Source organism: Homo sapiens, chromosome 20 (assembly GCF_000001405.40).
Source record: "Homo sapiens chromosome 20, GRCh38.p14 Primary Assembly".
Taxonomy (NCBI): domain Eukaryota; kingdom Metazoa; phylum Chordata; class Mammalia; order Primates; family Hominidae; genus Homo; species Homo sapiens.
This window is the reverse complement of record NC_000020.11, coordinates 49,753,822-49,778,457: the sequence shown is the minus strand read 5'-3', so window position 1 is coordinate 49,778,457 and position 24,636 is coordinate 49,753,822. Positions and strand designations below refer to the sequence as shown.

The 24,636-nt window shown below is 46.9% G+C and overlaps 1 long non-coding RNA gene across 4 annotated transcripts, besides 6 other annotated features; it reads left to right on the top strand.

The window, feature by feature from the left end:
- Positions 2,971 to 3,119: a silencer, noted in NCBI's record as "fragment chr20:48391876-48392024 (GRCh37/hg19 assembly coordinates)". NCBI's record gives its function as "represses an EF-1alpha promoter that drives an FKBP-Casp9 reporter gene in an ReSE screen in K562 erythroleukemia cells {active_cell/tissue: K562}" and the evidence as "EXISTENCE:reporter gene assay evidence [ECO:0000049][PMID:32094911]".
- Positions 3,087 to 13,801, top strand: LOC105372652 (uncharacterized). 4 transcript variants are annotated; one of them, XR_936825.3, is made up of 3 exons: positions 3,087 to 3,230; positions 7,378 to 7,447; positions 13,370 to 13,801. It is a non-coding gene; the product is annotated as an uncharacterized LOC105372652 (long non-coding RNA). The 4 variants fall into 4 exon arrangements; XR_001754661.2 differs by lacking the exon at positions 13,370 to 13,801 and adding an exon at positions 9,058 to 9,146; XR_936823.3 differs by lacking the exon at positions 3,087 to 3,230 and adding an exon at positions 6,115 to 6,161.
- Positions 5,970 to 6,608: an enhancer, noted in NCBI's record as "H3K27ac-H3K4me1 hESC enhancer chr20:48388387-48389025 (GRCh37/hg19 assembly coordinates)". NCBI's record gives its function as "activates a minimal SCP1, AML or CMV promoter by ChIP-STARR-seq in primed H9 embryonic stem cells {active_cell/tissue: H9 hESC(primed)}" and the evidence as "EXISTENCE:reporter gene assay evidence [ECO:0000049][PMID:30033119]".
- Positions 8,236 to 9,084: an enhancer, noted in NCBI's record as "H3K27ac-H3K4me1 hESC enhancer chr20:48385911-48386759 (GRCh37/hg19 assembly coordinates)". NCBI's record gives its function as "activates a minimal SCP1, AML or CMV promoter by ChIP-STARR-seq in primed H9 embryonic stem cells {active_cell/tissue: H9 hESC(primed)}" and the evidence as "EXISTENCE:reporter gene assay evidence [ECO:0000049][PMID:30033119]".
- Positions 9,085 to 9,934: an enhancer, noted in NCBI's record as "OCT4-NANOG-H3K27ac-H3K4me1 hESC enhancer chr20:48385061-48385910 (GRCh37/hg19 assembly coordinates)". NCBI's record gives its function as "activates a minimal SCP1, AML or CMV promoter by ChIP-STARR-seq in naive H9 embryonic stem cells {active_cell/tissue: H9 hESC(naive)}" and the evidence as "EXISTENCE:reporter gene assay evidence [ECO:0000049][PMID:30033119]".
- Positions 17,867 to 18,366: an enhancer, noted in NCBI's record as "H3K27ac hESC enhancer chr20:48376629-48377128 (GRCh37/hg19 assembly coordinates)". NCBI's record gives its function as "activates a minimal SCP1, AML or CMV promoter by ChIP-STARR-seq in naive H9 embryonic stem cells {active_cell/tissue: H9 hESC(naive)}" and the evidence as "EXISTENCE:reporter gene assay evidence [ECO:0000049][PMID:30033119]".
- Positions 18,367 to 18,868: an enhancer, noted in NCBI's record as "H3K27ac hESC enhancer chr20:48376127-48376628 (GRCh37/hg19 assembly coordinates)". NCBI's record gives its function as "activates a minimal SCP1, AML or CMV promoter by ChIP-STARR-seq in naive H9 embryonic stem cells {active_cell/tissue: H9 hESC(naive)}" and the evidence as "EXISTENCE:reporter gene assay evidence [ECO:0000049][PMID:30033119]".

Genomic DNA, 24,636 nt, shown 5'->3' with positions numbered 1-24,636 from the left:
TTGATTGAACCCGGGAGGTGGAGGCTGCCGTGAGCCGAGATTGCACCACTGCACTCCAGCCTGAGTGACAGAGGGAGACTCTGTCTAAAATATATATATCCATCTATCAGTTGTTGGACATTTGGATTGGTTTCACTTTTAGCTATAATGAATAATACTGCAGTGAACTTTCATGTACAAATTTTGTGAGGACATATGTTTTCAATGCTTGGACATATACCTAGGGGGAAAATTGCTGGATGATATGGTAACCCTATGTTTACACTTTTTTTTCTTTTTTCAATAGAGACGGGGTCTCACTATCGAGGTTGCCCAGGCTGGTCTCGAACTCCCAAGTTCAAGTGATCCTCCCGTCTCAGTTTCCCAAAGTGCTGGGATTACAAGCACTTGGATCACTGCACCCAGCTTGTTTAGTCTTTTGAGGAACTACTACCCTGTTTTCTAAAGTGGCTGCCCCACTTTACATTCCTGTCAGCAGTGTAGGAGCACTCCCTTACTTTTGCTATGTCTCTGGCAAGTTGCTTCAGCTCTCTGGGCCTCTGTTTTCCCATATCGTAAATGGGGATGCTCTATTGTAAAGATTAAACAAAGACCATGACTGGGCACAGTGGCTCACGCCTGTACTCCTAGCATTTTGGGAGGCCGAGGTGAGAGGATCTCTTGAGCCCAGGAGTTAGAGACCAGCTTAGACAACATAGCAGGACCTCATTTCTACAAATAATTTTTAAAAATTAGCCAGGCGGCCGGATGCAGTGGCTCACACCTGTAATCCCAGCACTTTGGGAGGCCAAAGTGTGTGGATCACCTGAAGTCAGGAGTTTGACACCAGCCTGGTCAACATGGCGAAACCCCGTCTCTCCTAAAAATACCTAAAAATACAAAAATTAGTCGGGTGTGGTGGCACATGCCTGTAATCCCAGCTACTTGGGAGGCTGAGGCAAGACAATCACTTGAACCCAGCAGACGATCTCATGCAGTGAGCTGAGATTGCACCACTGCACTGCAGCCTGGGCAACTTAGTAAGACTCCGTCTTGGAAGAAAAAATACAGAAATTAGCTAGGTGTGGTGGTGCATACCTGTAGTCCTAGCTAATCGGGAGGCTAAGGTGGGAGGATCACCTGATCCCAGGGAGGTCAAGGCTGCAGTGAACTGTGTTCCAGCCTCTGCACTCCAGTCGGGGTGGCTGCTTGAGACCCTGTTTCAAAAAAAGTGATCAGGTATATGAGATTTGAGGTGAGTGTCTTACATTCTAGGCTTCAGTTCTCTTCTGTGAAGTGGGGATAGCAAAAGCATTTTCCTCGTAAGTTTCCTCTGAGCATGAAATGAGACCCAGCTGCTAGAGACAGGACAATCTCAGATAAATGGCGACTTTAGACCTAGTCATAAAGTGCCTCCAGTTGAACAAAACTTGCCTGCCTATCTGTGGGCGATGCACCCAGTGCTATAATATTTATTAATGCTCCCTTGATTTTCAATGTAAGATTTTTTTCGCCTTGTAAGACCCTGGAAGCGGCCGAGTGTGGCGGCTCACGTCTATAGTCCCAGCACTTTGGGAGGCTGAGGAGGGCAGATCAAAAGGTCAGGAGTTTGAGACTAGCCTGGCCAACATGGCAAAACCCCATCTCTACTAAAACTACAAAAATTAGCTGGGTGTAGGTGGCAGGCACCTGTAATCCCAGCTACTCAGGAGGCTGAGGCAGCAGAATCGCTTGAACTCGGGAGGCGGAGGCAGTGAGCCGAGATCGCGCCACTGCACTCCAGCCTGGGTGACAAGAGCAAGACCTCATCTCAAAAAAGAAAAAAAAAAAAACAAAAAAAAAACTCTGGAAGATTTGCGGTCCAATTCACGAGGATCAGCTGATATTCTGGAACCATGCTGTGGATTGGGGGGGATGACATGATCTGCTGATGAATGACACATTGGCTGAGAAACAGAAACTGCCCAGCTTAAAGTGAGAGAGTGTGAAAACCTCATGACTGAGTCATGGTCCTAGGAGTGGGATGAGGGTGGGGAGGTGGGCGGGAAGAGTGGAATGGGGGTGGTTAATTAGCCATTCCTTTAAGTGGGCTCTCTGCCTTTCTGTCTTTTTCTCTGAGCTCATCACTTCCTCTCCCACTTCCTACAGTATGGTCTCAAACACTTGCATTTTCGGAAAAAAGCATGATCTCCTGACCTTTGTACATGCTGTTCCCTTTGCCCAGAGCACCATTTCTGGTAATTTCCTCCCTGTCACCTGGCAACGTTCATCCTTGAGTTTTCAGCTTAGAGGTCAACTTCTCCAGGTAGCTGTCCGAATTGGGGATCTTCTGTCTTGCCAGTGGGGCATGTATGTCCTCTGGATCAGAAAGCAGCATCTCTCTCTCTCTCTCTCTCTCTTTTTAATTTTTGAGACAGGCTGTGGCTGAGGCTGGAGTGCAGTGGCGTGATCTCGGCTCACTGCAACCTCTACCTCCTGGGTTCAAGCGATTCTCCTGCCTCAGCCTCCTGAGTAGCTGGGATTACAAGTGTGTGCCACCACGCCTGGCCTGTTATTTTAAAATAATTAAATCTGTCTCCATCCTGGGATTGCTAAATAAATAAATTAATTAATTAATTAAAAGCAAAGCTTAAAAAAATGAAAGCAGCACATACTTGTGTAATAATGAATGTAAACAACTCAAAAATGTGTAGGTTAGAAGTGAGAGTTATTTTGCCCCTCCTAATAAATATTAGCTGAATCCATGAATAAATGTCATGTCTATAAATAGATGATGAATGAATGATTGAATAAGAAAACAGTTCTGTCCAGAGAGACCTCGGTTCAAGGTGACCCCCCGCAACCTCCCACTCACAAGCAGGCCAGCTGGTTTCTCTGAAAGTCTCGGCCCTGGGCCAGTGTTTTATTTCTTTCTGGGATGGGCCCCTATCTAGGAGTTTTTTTTCCCTTGGAACCTTGGAGAATGACTCATGAGGACTTTCAATGGGCAGCAAGTGCCCTGGTGACATAGGGTCACATCCTGTTACTCAAGAAGGCAGGTCCTGGGTAGATCCCAGGGAGGTGAGTTGGTGGGGGATAAAGAGCTCCTGTGTGGCCAGCAGCTGGCTGCAGTTCCCCAGGAAACAGCTTCCGGCAGACACTCAATCTCCAGTTGTAACAGGTGGTGTGGAGTCCGCTGTCCCAGGGAGTGGGCTCAAGGCCTAGTCCTGCCAATGAACTTGCTGTAGAAACTTTTCTGTCTATCAAATGAGGTGAGGTCCATGGAAAACCTAAAGGTTGCCTGTTGAATACTCATCCTGTTCCTTCTTTTTTACTTACAGAACCCCAACTGGGGGTGGGGGACATTGGACAACAATGTGTCTAAGGGGAGGCTGGGCCTCTCTCTGGCCCCAGTGTTTGTGTGTCCAAATGCATGCACAAGTGTGTGTGTGTGTGTGTGTGTAGCTGCAAGCACACAGGAAAATGTATACATCTTGTTTATCTTGTTTATCCACGAATCCCAGCTCCAAGACATCTTCCTGGAGGGATGGCCAAGGCACATGATGACAGTCTACATTCTTCTCATTTTGTTTTTTCTAGTTTGTTTCATTTTTTCCTTTTCTTGTTTTCTTTTGTTTGCTTTTGTGTGTGTGTATGTTTCTGTTTCTTACTTTTTGTTATTTTAAATTTTATTTATTTTTCTTCTCACTTTTTTATTTTGGAGACAGAGTCTCGCCCTGTCACCCAAGCTGGAGTGCAGTGGTCCAATGTCGGCTCATTGTAACTTCTGCCTCCCAGGTTCAAGTGATTCTCCTGCCTCAGCCCCCCGAGTAGCTGGGATTAACAGGCATGTGCCACCGCGCCCAGCTAATTTTTGTATTTTTAGTAGAGACGGGGTTTTACCATGTTTGCCAGGCTGGTCTCAAACTCCTGACCTCGGGCAATCGCCTGCCTCAGCTTCCTAAAGTGCTAGGATTACAGGCCTAAGCCACCGTGCCCAGCCTCATTTTTTTTTTTCTTTTTTTTGAGATGGTCTCCCTCTGTCACCTAGGTTGGAATGCACTGGTGCAATAATTGCTCACTGCAGCCATGACCTCCCATGCTCAAGCAATCCTCCCACCTCAGCCTCCCACGTAGCTGGGACTACAGGTGAGTGCCACCATACCCGACTAATTTTTGTATTTTTTGTAGAGATGGAGTTTTGCCATGTTGCCCAGGCTGGTCTCCAACTCCTGGGCTCAAGTGATCCTCCGACCTCGGCCTCCCAAACTGCTGGGATTACAGTCTTGAGCCACTGCACCCGGCCTATTCTCACTTTCTGAATGGCTTTGGGCAAGTCACAATCTCTGTGTGCTTCAGTTTCTTCTCTGAAGTGGGAATGGCAAGCTGGACACCCTGAGCGTGTGTCTGTAGTCCCAGCTTCTGGGGCTGAGGCCAGGGGTTCAAGGCTATAGTGTGCCATGATCACTCCTACGAATAGCCAGTGCACCCCAACTCGAAAAAAATTTAAAAGACCAGGCATAGTGGCTCACACCTATAATCCCAGTACTTTGGGAGGCCAAGGTGAGAGGATCACTTGAGCCCAGGAGTTGGAGACCAACCTGGGCAACATAATGAGACTCTGTCTCATTTATAACGACAACAACAACAAAAGGTAAAAAATAAACAGTGGGGGCTCATGTGAGAAAAGCTATAAAAACAGAGAATATTGGCTGTTAAATATTGATGTTTGCAGGTTGTCAGGAAAGGAATCTTGTAGAGAATATAGAACTCCTGGCCCCTTTCCTAAAGGTTCTGATGCAGTGGGTCTGGCATGGGGCCAGGCCTCTGTTAGCAAGGGCCCCAGTGACGTTTATCAGTTAGCGAATTTGAAAATCACTGTCTTAGGCCGGGCGCGGTGGCTCATGTCTGTAATCTCAGCACTTTGAGAGGCCGAGGCAGGTGCATCACCTGAGGTCAGGAGTTCCAGATCAGCCTGGTCAACACAGTGATACCCCGTCTCTACTAAAAATACAAAAAATTAGCTGGGTGTGGTGGCAGGCACCTATAATACCAGCTACTCGGGAGGCTGAGGCAGGAGAATTGCTTGAACCCGGGAGGCCGAGGTTGCAGTGAGCCAAGATCATGCCACTGCACTCCAGCCTAGGCAACAAGAGTGAAACTCCATCTCAAAAAAAAAAAAAAAAAAAAAAAAGGAAAAGAAAATCACTGGCTTGGGAGAAATTCCAATTCCTGACTTTGCCCCTTATACCTGAACAAGTCATCACACTTCCATAATCCTGATTTCCTCATCTCTAAAATAATAATAATATGGCTGGACACAGTGGCTCACACCTGTAATCCTAACACTTTGGAAGGCCGAGGCAGGTGGATCACTTGAGGTCAGAATTTCGAGACCAGCCTGGGCAACATGGTGAAACCCTGTCTCTACTAAAAATACAAAATAATTAGCCGGGCGTGGTGGCAGACATCTGTAATTCCAGCTACTCGGGAGGATGAGGCAGGAGAATCGCTTGAATCCGGCAGGCAGAAGTTGCAGTGAGCCAAGATAGTGCCACTGCACTCCAGCCTGGGTACCAGAGCAAGACTGTCTCAAAAAATAAAAAAATAAATAATAATAATAATAATAAAAATATTACTAACCTCAGTGGTTCCTAGTAGGAGTTGACGACGGTTCTCAACCGAGGGTGATTTTTTTTTCCCCAGAGGATATTTGACAATGTCTGGAGAAAGTTTTGGTTACAACCAGGTGTGGTGTTGCCCCTGGCATCTGTGAATGGAGGCCAGGGATGTTGCTAACCATCAGACAACACACAGGACAGCCCCCGAAGCAAAGAATGAGCCAGCCCAAAATGTCAGTAGCGCCAAGGTTGGGAAACTCTGGGTTAAACTTATTAATGCACCATGTGCTCTCAGGAGGGTAGAGGCCAAGAAGCATTTTCTGTTGACTTAGCACAAACAAAGTTGCCCACAACATAAAGGGCTTTCCCAGTCCAGGAAAATGGAGTAAAGTGCTGGGTGTGAAGAAGGTCAGAGCCAGAGTGAGACCCATTGTTCTGCATGAGAGGGGGTGGGGAGAGTGGCAGTGACGCCAGAAATCTCTGAGTGTGACTCACTGAGAGAAGCCAGCTGGATGGCAGGGTTGCCAGAGCCTTTGTTCCAAGCTGCATTTGAGTAGTGAGCTTGAGGTTTTTCCACAGAAGGTGGGTACTCATTGAAAGGGACTTCGTTTTCTGAAGTTGCTTGTTGCTCCCCCCGCCCTTTTGTTGTTGTTGAGACGGAGTCTCCCTCTGTCGCCCAGGCTGGAGTGCAGTGGCACAATCTCTGCTCACTGCAACCTCCGCCTCCCTGGTTCACGCCATTTTCCTGCCTCAGCCTCCCAAGTAGCTGGAAGTACAGGCGCCCGCCACCATGCCTGGCTAATTTTTTGTATTTTTAGTAGAGACGGGGTTTCACTGTGTTAGCCATGATAGTCTCGATCTCCTGACCTCGTGATCCACCTGCCTCGGCCTCCCAAAGTGCTGGGATTACAGGCATGAGCCACCTCGCCCAGCCCCACTTTTTATATTAAGAAAATATTGACCGTCTAGATCAGTGGTTCAGGAGTGATTTTTGTCTCCCAGGGGACATTTAGCAATGTCTGGAGGCACTGACATAACTGGGGAGGAGGGTTCTCTGGGCATCTGGTGGGTGGAGGTCAGGCCTGCCCCTAAACCTCCTACAGTGAACAGGACAGCCCCCACCCCCACCCCCACTCAAGGATTATTTGGCCCAAAATCTAAATAGTGCTGGTGTTGTGAAACTCCAAATTATATGGCAAAATCCTGTCTCTACTAAAAATACAAAAATTAGCCGGGCCCGGTGGCGCATGCCTGTAGTCCCAGCTACTCAGGAAGCTGAGGCACAAGAATTGCTTGAACCTGGGAGGTGGAGGTTTCATTGAGCCGAGATAGCACCACTGCACTCCAGCCTGGGTGACAGAGCGAGACTCTTGTCTTAAAAAAAAAAAAAAAAAAAGAAAAGAAAAAGAAAAAATAATAAACTCCAAGTTATATAAAAATGTCATTATTGGGGTCCAAACCACCCCTACCGCTTAGGAGGTGGTAGGGGAACAGGTTTGAGGAGGGAGCCTGAATTCTTTCTGTTTGGTCAGGTCAAGTCGTACCGAGATCATTTGAGAGCCAGAAAGGGGCCCTAGAGGTATTTTGCAGTGTTTCTTGAGGCCCCACTCTGTGCCACGCCCCCTGCCCTCTGACTGCAGGCATCTTGGAGAGAGGTATCACCTCAGAGCTGGAGAAATGTCAAGCTAGTTGAATAACAGGCACCAAAGGTTTTGAGGGGTGCAGAGCGAAGAGCCTTGGGCTGAGAGTTTGAGTCCTGACTGTTTCAGTGAGACCAGCAAGCGCTTTCTCTCTCCAGCTTCTCCATTTCCACCTTTGCAAACTCTGGACTCCAAGGACGCAAGATGGCCGGAAACAAGATGGTGGAGGTAAGGGAGATGCTGAGAGCTGGACAGAGGCTCTGGCACCACTGAAGTTCCCAGAAGTCAGGGCAGAGTTGGGGTCCAAGGAGGTCCAACCATGAGGACAGAGTGTAAGTGGATGTAGGGCATAGCAGAGGACCTGGCCACCTTTTAGTTGAAGAGGAAGTGATGAACAGAGAGAGAAGGTTGTTAGGAGGAGGAGGTGACAGAGAAGATAACATTTCTCCAACTGGAGTTAAGGTCTCAAGCTACATAGGGTGTGGCTGCAGATCCTGGAGGTTGGTTTTACCACTGAAAATCCCATGTCTCCAGAATATCTTTAGTCCCAGGCAAATCAGGATGGTTGATCTTCCTGCCCAAACTGCCCACTCCCAATCCCCTTCCCCTTGCCTTCTTCTATTAGAGAGACCAGGAAGCTAAATACTTGGTTCTCCAGTGGAGGCAGTGAGACATGGTTCAGGAAAATGAGATGTAGGCTGAAGTCCACTGGGAAGGCATTCCTTCTGAAATATAGACACAAAGTCTTGCCAGGAAAAAACATTTGGCCCTTCCTTCCCCTTCTTTAAGTAGCAGAATCTCTGTAATTTTTTTTTTTTTTTCGAGACAGGGTCTCACTCCGTCACCCAGGCCAGAGTGCAGTGGCACTATTATAGTTCACTGCAGCCTTGAACTCTTGAGCCCAAGCATTTCCTTGCCTCAGCCTCTCAAGTAGCTGGGACTACAGGCATGTGCCAACATGCCCAGCTACTTTAAACTTTTTTTTTTTTTTTTTGTAAAGGCAAGAGTCTCACTTTGCTGCCCAGGCTGGTCTCAAACCTCTAGGCTCAAGTAATCCTTCCACCTCAGCCTCTCAAAGTGCTGGGATTACAAGAGTGAGCCACCACACCTAGCCATAATCCCTGAGATTTGGCTGGACAGTCAAAAGCTACATTTCCCCACATGTAGATATGGCCATCTGATCACATCCTGGCCTATGAGATGTGAACAAAAGTGCCAAGTGCAGCTTCCATGCCAGTTCCTTAGAGCAACAGAGTATACCCTTCCTTGCCATTGCTTGGTTAATGGACTCAGACGATGAATGGGCCAACCGATTCACTCCTTGAATGAACATGTTTGTTTGACCTGTGCAACATCAGTGCCTTCTTCTGATCATAGCACCCCAATTTTCCTTCAGACAATGAAGCAAAGGCTATAGGTGCCCTGGCCATTGTCCTAACCTTCAATGCACGCTGGCCCAAGCTTCGTCTCTTTGTCTGAGGACTTTCTCAGACCAGCAGGGACCATGCTCTTCCATGCTGGAAGTTCTGGGCAAAAACTCTCCTGCTAGCAACTGTCAGACAATGACTGACAGAAGTTGGTAGATGAATACCCCAGCTCCCTCAGCACTAAGATGGGATAACATTGAGGTCTATGTTTGCTATGGTTTGAATGTGTCCCCCCAAAAGCATGTATTGGAAACTTAATCCGCAATTCAAATGTGCTGGGGAGTGGAGCCTAATGGAGCCCTCATGAGAATGGATTAATGCCAGTTGTGAAAGGGCTTGCGGCTGCGAGTTCAATCTCTTGTTCACCCTCACCTTCTCTTACGTTTTCACCTTCCACCATGAATGATGCAGCATGAAGGCCCTTGCCAGATGACAGCACTATGCCCTTGGACTCCCCAGCCTCCATAACCATGGGCCAAATAAACTTCTATTGTTTTAAATTGCCCAGTCTGTGGTATTCTATCATAACAGCACAAAATAGACTAAAACAATGCTCTACACTGGCTGCCAGAGTTCCCTGATGGGATTGTGCTCCAGTTGTCCACAGTAGTAACTTGCTGGATAATACTTCCTGTTTCCGCAGGCTTCTCTTCTCTGTCTCATTCCCTCAATCCCCTAATGGTGCTTTCTGGGATCATCTCCCAAATAATCCACTTGCACCTCAAATCCTCATCTCAGAGTCTGCTTCTGAGGGAGCCCAAACAAAGGCATGAAACCTTTCCCATTCCCCAGTCTCAGTCTATATGGTTAAAGTGGGCCTGAACCCCATTCTAGGATGGGTCAGACTCAGGTCTGACCAATGACACCACCATACCTCTTTTAGGTACAGGGATGGTTCAGGGATGACCATTTGAACTCAAACAAGGCCAATAACAGTTTCATCCAGGATTTATGTTGAAACGATTGAGAAAGAGAAACATTTCTCCTGTGGTTTCTAAACTGTCAGGATGTTGGCTTGTGAGCCCACAATCCTCTGAGAATGAAGCCACATCAGAGACAGAGCAGTGAGATGAAAAAGAGAAACCACATCCCAATGGCTTTAGGTGCATCTCCGGTTCCACTGTGGTGTATAAATAATTTTTTCATTTATTAGGCTGGGGCATGAGAACTCCCCTGTTCCCCACAGGCAGGACTACTCCCTATTGTTTCACATGTTTACTTTCCCTGCCTGGCCCCTGAAGCCACTGGGGTTTGCAGTCTCTGTATTTGGCTGCAAACCAGTTTTTGCTTGAGTATTCTTCCTGAACACTGTTCAACCTGAATGCTTTCGCAACACGATGGGGCAAGGACAGTTACCGAAAGTTCAACGTGGTGGAATAACCTGATTGGGAAATCAACTGTCTTTCATTTTCTCAATTCCAGGGCCATTGGGAAAGAATGAAAGGCATTTCCCTACTCTTTGCCAAGAAGGTAGCTGGGGCTTTGTGATGGAAAGGACTGGGTGTCTTTTGTTTCCCATGCAGAATTAAGAGACCGTCCTTCCCCCAAAGTCTGGGTCAGAGAGTCTCAGACTATAAAGGCAGGACTACATACATTAGGGGTCCCGGAGGAGCTTGTTCCAAAGGTGGAGGTTCAGGTCCCAGCACAGGTGTCTCGGTCACCTGGGAATTTGTCTTTCAAACATGTTTTCAATTTGTCTTTCAAACATGTTCCTCCAAACACTGAGAAACTTGGGATTCTTTTATTTGTATGTATACTTCTTTTTTCTTTTTCTTTTTTTTTTTTTTTTTTGAGATGGAGTCTCGCTCCGTCACCAGGCTGGAGTGCAGTGGCGCGATCTCGGCTCACTGCAACCTCCGCTTCCCAGGTTCAAGCAATTCTCCTGCCTCAGCCTTCCGAGTGGCTGGGATTACAGGCATGTGCCACCACGCCCAGCTAATTTTTCTATTTTTAGTAGAGACGGGGTTTCACCATGTTGATCAGGCTGGTCTCGATCTCGTGACCTCGTGATCCACCCACCTCGGCCTCCCAAAGTGCTGGGATTACAGGCATGAGCCACCACGCCCGGCCCTTTTTTTTCTTTTTCAGATAGAGATGGGGTCCTGCTATGTTGCTGGTCTCAAACTCCTGAACTCAAACAATCCTCCCACCTTGGCCTCTCAAAGTGCTGGGATAACAGGCATGAGCCACTGTGCCCAGCCTAGGATTCTTTTATTTGTAAATGACAGAAGCCCCATTTGAAACTGATTTTTACGCAAAAAGCAATTTATTGGCTTAAGTAACTGAAAAGGACTGAAGTAAGTAACTGAAAAGTACTGGCTTCAGACCTGGCTGGATTCAGGAACTCAAATGAGGTTACCAGACATAGTCTCTCGCCATCTCTTGGCTTTGCTCTTCAGTGAGTTGGCTCCAGTCTTAGTATCTACTTGATAGCAAGCTGGCAACCAATAGCTCCAGGCCTGCATCCTGCCAGGTATGAGTGTGGTGGGAAAGGAGGTCACTTCCTGGAAATGCTGCTGAAGTTGCAGCATTCACTCTGATTGGACGAACTCAAGTTGTGGTTCATCTCTGAACCAATCATTGTCACTTGAAGAAGGCAATGCTTTGATTGTCCAGGCCTGGTCACATGCTTCTTGGTGGAACCAAGGGGTATAAACAGCCTCACCTGAACTGCAGGGAGTGGAAGCGAGGGAGGGGAGGTTTCCCAAAGAAATTGGTGTCCAGTATAGTCTAGTCTAGGCCATAAATCTTCCCCTCATGTTAGGTGCTTTGGGCATCTGAGCATCCTGGGAAGTTCAAGTTGCTTTTTGGTCCGGATCACAAAAAGAGATCCATGGTGCCCACTCAGGAAATTATCAAAGCCATATGGCAGCATGTGGTGTCTCATGCCTGTAATCCCAGCACTTTGGGAGGCCAAGGATGGAGGATCACTTGAGCCCAGGAATTGACCAGTCTGAGCAACATGTCGAAACCCCATCTCTACAGAAAATACCAGTATTAGCCAGGTGTGGTGGCACCTGTAGTTCCAGCTACTTGGCAGGCTAAGGTGGGAGGATCGATTGAGCCTGGGAGGTCGAGGCTGCACTGAACTGTGATCATGCCCCTGCACTCTAGCCTGGGTGATAGAATGAGACCCTGTCTCAGAAAATAAATAAATAGTAGGTTAGTACAAAAGTAACTGTGTTTTTTGCCATTTTTTAAAAGAAGTGGTAAAAACCACAACTACTTTTGCACCGACCTATAAATAAAGCCCTAAAAGAGATTCTGTTGATTACTTCATTCCCCTTCTCCCCTGCCAACAGAACCTAATTTTGTTGGAACAAAACACAACATGTCATGTGCAGGAAATTAATTCTGATTGGTCTGAGCCAGCCATGGAAATCCTGTTGACAGTCTTGGAGTAAGCATTGGAAGCAGTCCTGGCAGTTGAGGCATTGGTGGAGGTCTGCTGAGGGTTTCTGGGAAGGAAGTTCCTTTCTATTAAAAGAGAGAAACTTTCCCACCTCCCAACTTCTTTTCTCTCTCACACATATTCTTCCAGCCTTTGGACATTGCTGTGCTAGAATGTGACATTTGAAGTTGTAGCAGCCATTTTGAGACCATGAGGAATCCTTGAGAAGCTTAGAGGCATTTGAACCAGAGCAACTCCGTCTTGAGTAGGGGCTGTATGAAATAAGGCTGAGACCTACTGGGATATGTTCTCAGGCACTTAGGCATTCTAAGTCATAGGATGAGACAGGAGGTCAGCACAAGATACAGGTCATAAAGACCTTGCTGATAAAACAGATTGCAGTAAAGAAGCCTGCCAAAACCCACCAAAACCAAGAAGGCGATGAGAGTGACCTCTGGTCATCCTCACTGCTATACTCCCACCAGTGCCCTGACAGTTTACAAAAGCCATGGCAACCTCAGAAAGTTACCCTATATGGTCTAAAAGGAGAGGCATGAATAATCCACCCCTTGTTTAGCATATGATCAAGAAATAACCATAAAAATGGGCAACCAGGCACTCTGAGGACTGCTCTGTCTATGGAGTAGCCATTCTTTATTCCTTTATTTTCCTAATAAACTTGCTTTCACTTTACTATGCGGACTCACCCTGAATTTATTCTTGCGCGAGATCCAAGAACCCTCTCTTGTGGTCTGGATTGGGACCCCTGTCCAGTAACAAGCTAATCCAATACCCCAGAACTGAGACGCTGAAATAGCCAACCCTGAAACAGTCCACCTATTGGTGTATTGTTACCTGAGATAATACTAAGTACTCTAGTCACTTAAGGCCCTCTTGACCCAGTCTCCTTACATGCAACTCAAAGTACTCTAATGAATCCACCTGCAGGAAAAGAGGGCCAAACAAAAAAGGCTGTGACTTCTCGGAGATTATTCTGGTTCAAAAGCTGGTTGAGCCTCTCCCAGTTGGCTCCCCCAATGTTCTATTAAGAAGCTCTTGCTACTTCCTGCTGACCAGGTCATTTAAAAGAAGAAGAAGAAAAAGCTGTTGCACACGATAAGCATTCATCATTCATTAGGACACTCCCACTATGGACTGGGTGCTGTAAACTTCCTTGTCAGCCTGAAAGTTGCCTGAAGCCTCATGCAAGCATTTACAACACAGAGGGTGAGAGTGGGCTGGCTGTGGAGTCTAGCCTCTAACATTTTTATTTGTTTTAATTTTCATTGTTAATAATTTCTTTTTCTTTCTTTTCTTTTTTTTTTTTTTTAGATGGAGTCCCCCTCTGTCACCCAGGCTAGAGTGCAGCCTGATTCTACAACTTGGCCATGTGATCCTGAGCAAATTACATTCCCGTTTCAGTTTTCCCTCTTCAACAACAACAAAAAAGCGTTGGATTAAGTAATGATTAAAACTCCTTTCTGCTGGGCGCGGTGGCTCATGCCTATAATCCCAGCACTTTGGGAGGCCGAGGCAGGCGGATCACAAGGTCAGGAGTTCGAGACCATCCTGGCTAATATGGTGAAACCCCATCTCTACTAAAAATACAGAAAAATTAGCCTGTAGTCCCAGCTACTTGGGAGGCTGAGGCAGGAGAATGGCGTAAAACCCGGGAGGCGGAGCTTGCGGTGAGCCGAGATCGCGCCACTGCACTCCAGCCTGGGAGACAGAGCGAGACTCCGTCTCAAAAAAAAAAAAAAAAAACACTTCCTAGAGTTCTACTGTCATCTTTTATTTTTCACCAATCCTCTAGATTCTTTTTTTATTTTCTTCTAAAAGGAACAAAAGTCCGCCAGGCACGGTGGATCACACCTGTAATCCCAGCACTTTCGGAGGCCGAGGCGAGCGGATCACCTGAGGTTGGGAGTTCGAGACCAGACTAACCAACGTGGAGAAACCCCATCTTGACTAAAAATACAAAATTAGCTGGGTATGGTGGCACATGCCTGTAATCCCAGCTACTCGAGAGGCTGAGGCAGGAGAATCACTTGAACCCAGGAGATGGAGCCTTCAGAGAGTCAGACCGCACCACTGCACTCCAGCCTGGGCGACAGAGCAAGACTCCTTCTCAAAAAAAAAAAAAGAAAGAAAGAAAGAAAAAGAAAAACGCCTAGACCTGGAATTTGCAGGGGAAAGAGCAAGACTGTCTCAAAAAAGGACTTAGAGGATCAGAGAAGAGTCACCAGTCAGATTGAGAAACCAAGCACATCCAACTGCTGGAGTAAAACTGCAAAAGGGAGGTGGTGGAGAGGTCTCTGGGAAGCAGTTCTTTGTGAGTCTACAGCCAAGAACCTAGTCATGGGCCTAAGCCAACTTTTGGAAAGCAGGCCAACAGTTAGAAAAAAGAGCTAGAGGTCAGGCGCAGCGGCTCACGCCTGTAATCCCAGCACTTTGGGAGGCTGAAGCGGTTGGGTCACCTGAGGTCAAGAGTTTGAGACCAGCCTGGCCAACAGGTTGAAACCCAGTCTCTACTAAAAATACAAAAGTTAGCCGGCATGGTGGTGTGCGCCTGTAGTCCCAGCTACTTGGGAGGCTGAGGCAAGAGAATTGCTTGAATCTGGGAGGCGGAGGTTGCAGTGAGCCGAGATAGTGCCACTGCGCTCCAGCCTGGGTGACAGAGCAAAACTACATCTGAAAAAGAAAAAAAGCTAGAGGTAGTATAGGAGAGAGCAGAGAGCAGTCCTGAAAACAGACAACCATAATCCAGTTTGATAGCTGTTTCAACAGGGTAAACACAAAGGTGCAATGGGAGCCCTAAGGGGTTTCAGAATCCAGTCTAGAAATCAAGGAAGGTGGTTGGGTGCGGTGACTCATGCCTGTAATCCCAGCACTAATGGGAGGCCAAGGCGGGCAGATCACTTGAGCTCAGGAGGTTGAGACCAGCTGGACAACATGGTGAAACCCCGTCTCAACTAAAAATACAAAAATTATCTGGGCATGTTTGTGGGTGCCTGTAATCTCAGCTACTCAAGAGGCTGAATCGTTTGAATCCAGGAGACGGAGGTTGCAGTGAGCCAAGATCGCACCACTACACTCCAGCCTGGGTGATAGAGCGAGACTCCATCTCAAAAAAAAAAAAAGAAAAGAAATCAAGGAAGGCCTCTTGGGGGAGAAAACATTTGAGTTGAGACCTGACGAAGGAGGAGACAGCCACATGAAATGGGGGAGGAGGGAGAGAAATTAGCATACGCAAATGTCTGGAGGTAATATAGGATATTGTCAGAGGTGTTAGAACCAGAGCGACTCCATCTGGAATAGGGGCTGGGTAAAATGTGGATGAGACCCAACGGGCTTCATTCCCAGGAGGTTAGGCATTCTTTCTCACAGGTTGAGATAAGAGGCCAGCAGGATTCCTATCACAAGATACAGGTCATTGAGACCCTGCTGACAAAACAAGAGGTAGTAAAGAAGCAGGTCAAAAGCCATCCAAACCAAGATGATAACAAAATCGACCTCTGGTTGTCCTCACTGCTCATTATACACTAATTAGCATGCGAAAAGACACTCCCACCAGAGTCATGACAATGTCCAGAAGCTACCCTATATGATCTAAAAAGAAGAGAAACCCTCACTTCCAGGAGCTCCCCAACCCTGCCCTGGAAAACTCATGAAAAATTCACCCCTTGTTTAGCACATAATTAGGAAGTATCCATAAATACACTCAGTCAAGCAGCCCATGCTGCTGCTCTGCCTACAGAATAGCCATTCTTTTATTCTTTTACTTACTTTTTTTTTTTTTTTTTTGAGATGGAGTCTCACTCTGTCGCCCAGGCTGGAGTGCAGTGGTGCGATCTTGGCTCATGGCAACCTCGGCCTCCTGGGTTCAGGCAATTCCGATACCTCAGCCTCCTGAGTAGCTGGGATGACATGGGCGCACAACCAGGCCCAGCTAATTTTTTGTATTTTTAGTAGAGATGGGGTTTCGCCATTTTAGCCAGGCTGGTCTTGAACTCCTAACCTCAGGTGATCCCCCTGCCTCAACCTCCCAAAGTGCTGGGATTACAGGCATGAGCCACCGCGCCCGGCCTTTATTCCTTTACTTTCTTAGTAAACTTGCTTTTGCTTTACTCTGTGGACTCATCCCGAATTCTTTCTTGTGAGAGAATTCTTTCTTGTGGTCTGGATCAGGACCCCTTTCTAGTAATAATATTAGGCAATTAAAAGTAGTTCAGTCTGGCTGGGGAACAAGTATGAAGTAGGAAGGGTCATGGGTGATGGCAGGGGACCAGGAGGTGCCAGATCTTGCAGGTCTTTATCAGTGAGGAGTTCAAACTCTGTCTTAAGAGTACTGGGGGGGTGGCCGGGCACAGTGACTCACGCCTGTAATCCCAGCACTTTGGGAGGCCAAGGCGGGTGGATCACCTGAGGTCAGGAGTTCAAGACTAGCCTGGCCAACATGGTGAAACTCCGTCTCTACTAAAAATACAAAAATTAGCCGGATGTGGTGGCGGGTGCCTGTAATCCCAGCTACTCAGGAGGCTGAGGTAGGAGAATCACTTGAACCCAGGAGGCAGAGGTTGCAGTGAGCGGAGATCGCACCACGACACTCCAGCCTGGACAAAAAGAGCAAAACTCTGTCTCAAAAAAAAAACTGAAAAAGTACTGGGGAGCCATGGGAGGGTTTGAAGCAAGGGAGAGGTAAGTATTGTTGAGGAAAAAAGCCAAACTCCGTAAAATATTTGAAGAAGTTTATTCTGACCCAAATATGAGTGATCATGGCCCGTGACACAGCCTCAGGGGGTCCTGAGGACATATGCACAAGGTGGTCAGGTTGCAGTTTGGTTTTATACATTTTAGAGAGATGGAAGTCACAAACAAAGACATAAAGCAATACATGAAATGTATACATTGGTTCAGCCTCAAAAGGCAGGACATCTCAAAGATGGAAGCAGAGGGACTTCCAGGGCATAGGTGGATTCGAAGATTTCCTTATTGGCAATTGATTGAAAGAGTGAAGCATTGCCTGAGGAGTTGAAGTCAGCATAAAGAAATGTTTGAGGTCAGGTGCGGTGGCTCACACCTATAATCCCAGCACTTTAGGAGGCCAAGACGGGTGGATCGCTTGAGCCTAGGAGTCCCAGGCCAGACTGGGCAACATGGAGAGACCCCTGACTCTACCAAAAATTAGCCCAGCGTGGTGGTACGCACCTGTGCTCCCAGCTATCAGGAGGTGGAGTCAGGAGGATGGCTTGAACCTGGGAGGCAGAGGTTTCAGTGAGCTGAGATCACACCACTGCACTCCAGCCTAGGTGACAGGGTGAGAACCCAACTCAAAAAAAAAAAAAAGAAAGAAAAAGAAATGCTTGAGTTAAGGTAAGAGAGTTGTGGAAGCCAAGGTTCTTGTTTATGTAGATGAAGCCTCTAAGCACCCAGCTTCAGACAGGATAGATGGTAGATTTCTCTTATTAGACCTCAAAAGGTGTTAGACTCTTAGTTTAATTCTCTCCTGGATCAGGAAAAGACCTGGAACAGGAAGGGGATTCGCTACAGAAGGCAAAGAGTGGGCTTTGCAGGGTCACTCCAAAATATGTCAAATAAATATATCTTGGGGTAAAATACTTTGACTTTCCTTAGGGCCTGTTATCTGTCACTGTTATGCTCTACATCACATACAGGGTCAGGTTGGAATTTGGTATCTTATTGCACAAAGAGTCTGTTTTGTCCATCTGATGATCTGGTTTTTTGTGTTTTGTTTTGTTTTTTGAGATGGAGTCTCGCTCTGTCACCCAGGCTGGATTGCAGTGGAGCGAACTCAGCTCACTGCAACCTCCACCTCCCAGGTTCAAGCAATTCTCCTGCCTCAGCCTCCCAAGTAGCTGGGATTACAGGCGCCTGCCACCATGCCTGGCTAATTTTTGTATTTTTGGTAGAGACGGGGTTTCACCATGTTGGCCAGGCTGGTCTCAAACTCCTGACTTCAAGTGATCTGCCTGCCTCGGCCTCCCAAAGTGCTGGGATTACAGGCGTGAGCCACCATGCCCGCCCTATGATGATCTGTATTTTAATATGAATGCTGACCAGTTGTGCCTAAACTCCAAAGGGAGGAAAGTATGAAGAGGCGAAGAGGCATATCTGACCTTCCTTCCCATCATGGCCTGAACTAGTTTTTCAGGTTTTCTTTGGGATCACCTTGGTGAAGATGGGGATTCATTCAGTCAGTTGAGGGGCTTAGAATTTCATTTTTGGTTTACATTATCACAGGTGTTGGCAAGTTGGAAATGAGATAATTTTTTTGGTTTTTTTTTTTAGATGCAGTCTCACTCTGTTGCCCAGGCTAGAGTGCAATGGTGTGATCTCAGCTCACTGCAACCTCGGCCTCCCGGGTTCAAGTGATTCTCCTGCCTCAGCCTCCCCAGTAGCTGGAATTACAGGCATGCACCTCCACACTCGGTAATTTTTATAATTTTAGTACAGACGGGATTTCACCATTTTGGCCAGGCTGGTCTTGAACTCCTGATCTCAGGTGACCTGCCCACCAAAGTGCTGGGATTACAGGATTTTGTAATCCTATGAGTCCTTAAAAGTCCTTTTGTAATCCACAGTGTAAGCCACTGTGCCCGGGGCTGAGAGGACTTTTTGAATATTTCCCTTCCAGGAAAATAGTTCAAATACCTCAACGGGAACTCTGAGTCCTGTACCTTCAGTTGTTTGAAGGTAATCTGGAGAATAGAACATGGGGAATGTGACTGCATGCGTTACCATATTTTCAGCGGCCAGTCACAGCATGCCTGATTCATGGTGGCTTGAGCAAAGAAGAAATGCAATCTTTTTTTTTATAGCAAAACATGTGGAGGTCAGCAGCTCCAGAGTCATTGCAGGGGCTCGGGGGTGTTCTTCAGGACTCAGGCTCTTCTCATCTTTCTGCTCTGTCATCTTCAGCAGTTGGCTTTTGTCCTCAAACTCATTGCCCAAAACAGCTGCTGCAGTGCCTCACATCATTTGATCACAGGACACTGATCAAAATGGAAGGGAAGGGGCAGGGCAGAAGGCTTTAACTACCTGAAGGTCTATGTTATTAGTAAAGTGAAGCCCCAGATTTCCCCTGACCTCTCATTGGCTAAAAGGCGGACCAGGCACCCATCCTGGACCAATTCCTGTAGAACAGAAAGGACTTACTGGGTCTACTTAAGACAGATCATGATTTATCTGCTGGGGCTGGGGAGCAACCCACTCTCCAAAGATGAAGGGATTTCGATCTAGTAGCTGAGCCCAAAATCAAGATTATTTGGGCAGGCATATGTGGAGGTGGGGTGAGAATGGTTGCGGGGTAGTAAAGGCAGCATGTCAGTTCCAGTCCTCTGGGAAGCAGATGGTAAAGTGGAGCTAGTAGGACGAGAGGGAGGAGTGTCATGCCTGTGAAAGACAAAAGTGGGTGAAAGCAGCACTCAGCAGGGGAGCCTCAGACGGCAATGCAGGGCTGACAGAGGCTTTGTCAACTCAGTTTGGGAGCTCCAGAACAAAGACTGTTTGTTAGGGGAGCCCCATGTTGGGCAGAACTGGTCGGGTCCTAGTCCCTCCATGCAGGTTCTTCGCTGGAGCCTGCTCAGGAAGAGCTAGCCTTGGCTTGAAAGTTAAGGCAGATCTCAAATGTGCTGAGGCCGAAGGCTGTTGGCTAACTGCATTCTTTGCAGGGGATCGGCAAGTTCTTTCTTGAAGCTGTACCCCTCCAGGGCCACCACAAGGTACCCAGCGTCTGGCCTAGTTGTGCCCAAGGAAGTCATCTTTGAGGTGACAAATCCATTTCTGCCCAGACCAGCATCAGACCTGATGGAGTGAGAAGAGAGACTGAGAGATATTGAGATATTAGGCTCAATTCAGAAATTGTCTAATCTTTTGAAAAACATTTTCCCCCACATATAATTTTTTTTTTTTTTTTTTTTTTTTAGACAGAGTCTCACTCCATCACAGGAGTACAGTGGCATGATCTCAGCTCATTGCAACCTCTGCCTCCCCATGCCTCAGCCTCCCAAGTAGCTAGGACTACAGGCATGTGCCACCATGCCTGGCTAATTTTTGTATTTTTAGTAGAGATGGGGTTTTGCTAAGTTGGCCAGCCTGGTCTTGAACTCCTGACCTCAAGTGATCCGCCCACCTTGGCCTTCCAAAGTGCCGGGATTACAGGCATGAGTTACCACACACAGCCCAGAATATTTTTATTATAGTAAAATTAGAAATTCTACATGGGTGCAAAGAAGATAAAAGTTAGTCAAGGCCAGACGTGGTGGCTCACGCCTGTAATCCCAATACTTTGGGAGGCTGAGGCGGGAGGATTGCTTGAACCTAGGAGTTCAAGACCAGTCTGGGCAACATGGCAAAACCTCATCTCTACAAAGATTTTTAAACTTAGCTGAGTGTGGTGGCACACACCTGTCCTAGCTGCTTGGGGACTGAGCTAGGAGGATTGCTTGAGCCCAAGAGATTGAGGCTGCAGTGAGCCATGATTGCACCACTGTACTCCAGCCTGGTGACAGAGCAAGATCCTGTCTGAAAAACAAAAAATAAAAAAGATTAGTCATGATTCTCCCATCATTAATGAGGATAATAGCTAATGTTTATATGGATTGTTGATTATGTGCTAGGCATTGTGATAAACAATTCATACATATTGTCTCATTTACTCCCAGCTCTGCTGCTTGAGTGCGTTACTTAGTCCCCCTACGCCTCAGTTTGCTCATTTGCCCGACAGGGTTTACCACACTATCTGTCACGTGCAGTTGCTCTGTGGATTCAATAAGTTCATTGATGTGAGGCACTTGGAACATTGCCGGGTTTCACAAAAATGCTCAATAAATATTAGCTATTATCTTCATTACAAGTCCTCATTCCTTTAACCACAATTCTAAAATCAAAAAAGGCTATCATACTGCAGGAGGAAGACAGGCATCAGAAAAAAAAAAAAAAAGCCCATAATGACAACTAGAAACATCTCTGAAAAACAAAACAAAACAAAAAAGGCTATGAAATGAACTGTTTCTCAAAAGTCTGATGCCAGCACTCATTTGGAAGGAAATCCTGACCTGTCCTGAGGTTATACATAATCTTATTGAACCCATTTAGTGTAAATTTTGAAACTCTGATATCCGATAAATGGTTGTAGCCTCGTGATACTAATCTTCATGACAACACTACGAGGTGAGTACTATTGATATCCTGACCTGGGAGGAATTTGTTTTTGTTTTTGTTTTTGGGACAGAGCAAGACTCTGTTTTTGTGACACAGCAAGACCAGGCTGGAGTGCAGTTGTGTGATCTCGGCTCACTGCCACTTCTGCCTCCTGGGTTCAAGTGATTCTCCTGCCTCAGCCTCCCGAGTCACTGGGATTACAGGCACGCATCACCACGCCCGGCTAATTTTTTGTATTTTTAGTAGAGATGGGGTTTCACCATGTTGGCCAGTCTGGTCTTGAACTCCTGATCTCAAGTGATCCACCCGCCTCAGCCTCCCAACGTGCTGGGATTACAGGCGTGAGCCACCGTGCCTGGCCAGGAATTTTTTTTTAAGTAGTTTTCTTTATGCAGGACTCTGCAGAACCCTTAATCTGCCAACATGCTCTGTAAATCTCCAGGAGGCTGCTATAGAATGCAGCCTTCCCCAGACTCACAGACCATGGATGTCAAGGTCATTTTTTTCCCCAGGAGATCTCCCTGTGCTATCACTTTGAGAACCTGGGAGGCCTACTGGGTGGAACAGCCTGGAAGAACTAAGGACCCTGGGCAGAACAGGAGCAAGAAGGAGCCTAGCTAAGTGGACACTGGAGTCCTGTCACCAATTAACTGTATGTGTCCTTGAAAAAAATCTCTCCTCCTCTCAGAAACTTAGCCTCTTGACTCAAAAAACACATGACAAAACCATCTTTGAAGTCTCTTAGCTCGCCAGCAGCATTTTCTCTTGTCTTTTGAAGAAGAAGCAGGCGGATGCATTTGAAGAAGACAGTCACAAGAACTTCAAGGGGGTACAGCTGGTGCCAGGTTCCCCTTCCTGGAAATCATTTGAAATATCAGGCTGGGCTGGGAATTGCTCAGCAGTGGGAAGCAGGCAGGAAGAACTCCAAATGTCCCTCAAGCTGCAGGATGCTGAGTGCCAGATCACTTTCCAACCCTTTAGTATCTGAACTTGCCAATGACATTTCTTTCTTTGTTGTTCCAATGGCCTCTCCGAGACCACTTCAGCAAGAGCCAGCCTTGCCAGATTAAATGTACTTCTTTCATGCGCTTAAAAGAAATGAAAAACCTGGCTGGGCACCGTGGCTCACACCTGTAATCCCAGCACTTTGGAAGGCTGAGGCGGATGGATCACCAGAGCTTAAGAGGTTGAGACAAGCCTGGCAACATGGCGAAATCACATCTCTACTAAAATTACGAAAAATTAATCAGTCGTGGTGGTGCATGCCTGTAATCTCAGCTATTTGGAAGGCTGAGGCACAAGAATCACTTGAACCTGGGACAAGAAGATTGCAGTGAGCCGAGACTGTGCCACTGTACTCCAGCCTGGGCAACAGAGCAAGATTCTGTCCCAAAGAAAAAAAAAAGTTCCCAAGTGTTCCACATACTTTGAAGTTTTACTATCTACTTTTTGAAATGGTGAAAGTTGGCCCCAGAGAAACAAAATTCAAGCACACACAAAAAAATCTGAATTAAATAGGTCTCCCTCCCATTCCCCTCTGCTACCTGTCCCCCTCCACAGAGGCATTCAGCATTACCAGTCTTGTATATCTCCTTCCAGGTTAACTTTAGAGGCATGGAAGCATATATTGTTGTATCTGTTGGGATGCTTTTGGCTGCAAATATAAAACAATACCCAACCCGCAAATGTATAATTTACCTATGAGGAGTCTGGATGTAGAACAGTTTCACAGTTGGTTCATTTAGGGAAGCAATGCTATCACTAAGGATTCAGATTCCTTCTCTCTTCCTGCTCTGGCATCCTTAGTACTATAACTTTGTGTCTTTTTTTTTTTTTTTTTTTTGAGATGGAGTCTTGCTGTGCTGCCCAGGCTGGAGTGCAGTGGCACGATCTCGGCTCACTGCAAGCTCCGCCTCCCGGGTTCACGTCATTCTCCTGCCTCAGCCTCCCGAGTAGCTGGGACTACAGGCACCCGCCACCACGCCCAGATAATTTTTTTGTATTTTTAGTAGAGACAGGGTTTCACCATGTTAGCCAGGATGGTCTCGATCTCCTGACCTCGTGATCTGCCCGCCTCGGCCTCCCAAAGTGCTGGGATTACAGGCGTGAGCCACTGTGCCCAGTCACTTTTGTGCCTGTTTTTTTATTTTTATTTTTTAATTTGAGACAGGGCTTCTCTGTTGCCCAGGATGGAGTGCAGTGGTGCAATCATGGCTCACTGTAGTCTTGACCTCCTGGGCTCAAGTGATCCTCCCACCTCAGCCTCCCTAATAGCTGGGACTACAGGAACACACCACCACCACTCCAGGCTAGCTAAAACAATTTTTTTTTTTTTGAAGAGATAGGGTTTCACTATGTTGCCCAGACTAGTCTGGAACTCCTAGGCTCAATCAATCTTCCTGCCTTGGCCTCCCAAAGTGCTGAAATTACAGGTATGAGCCACCGTGCCAGACTTTTGTGTCTTGATACTGGGTGAGTCAGTAGCATGGGCAGAAGGAGTATCCTGGAAGCCATTTCTCTGCCAGGACAACAAGCAATACTTTCCTTATTCACCGAAAAGATCGTGAGCTACAAGACTACATCCCGCTAAAGCTGCGTGCAGTGGTGCACACCTGTAGTCCCAGCTACTCAGGAGCCTGAGGTGGGAGGATCACTCGAGCCCAGGAGCCCAAGTCTAGCCTGGGCAACACAGTGAGACCCCCACCTCTATTAAAAAACAAAAAAAAGATTACATCCACTAAACCCAAATTTAATGGATTCCCTAACTCATCTTCCCCTTAGCTGATCCCTGCCCATAGCTCCCCAAATGCCACCCGATGCACATTCCCAGGCAGGCAACGTTGGGGAGCTGGAGAGACCTTGTCTAACCAGTTGCAGCTAAAATACTTACCTTTGCAGATGTTGCAGAAACACATGACTGTGTGAACATATTGCTAGATTTGGAAGGGGCTGTGCAATTGAAGAGCCCTGATCTCAGCTTTGCTTCATTCACTTAATGGTGGATCTATCTCTAGATTTTCAGAAAAGCTGGACAGGACTATGTGATGAATCAGATGTAAAAAGTGAGTGAAAGGCCAGGCGTGGTGGCTCATGCCTGTAATCCTAGCACTTTGGTAGGCCAAGGCAAGTGGATGACTTCAGGTGAGGAGTTCGAGACCAGCCTGGCCAACATGGCGAAACCCTGTCTCTACTAAAAATACCAAAAAAAAAAAAAACCAAAAAAAAAAAACCTGGGCATGGTGGCACACACTTGTAATCAGCTACTCCAGTGGCTGGTGCGCAAGAATCTCCTTGAACCCAGGAGGTGGAGGTTTCAGTGAGCTGAGGTGGCGCCACTGCACCCCAGCACCCCCCAAAAAAAGTGAGTGAAAGAGAGAAAAATCCAGAATTATTTCAGTGTATTTTTGGCTTGAGTA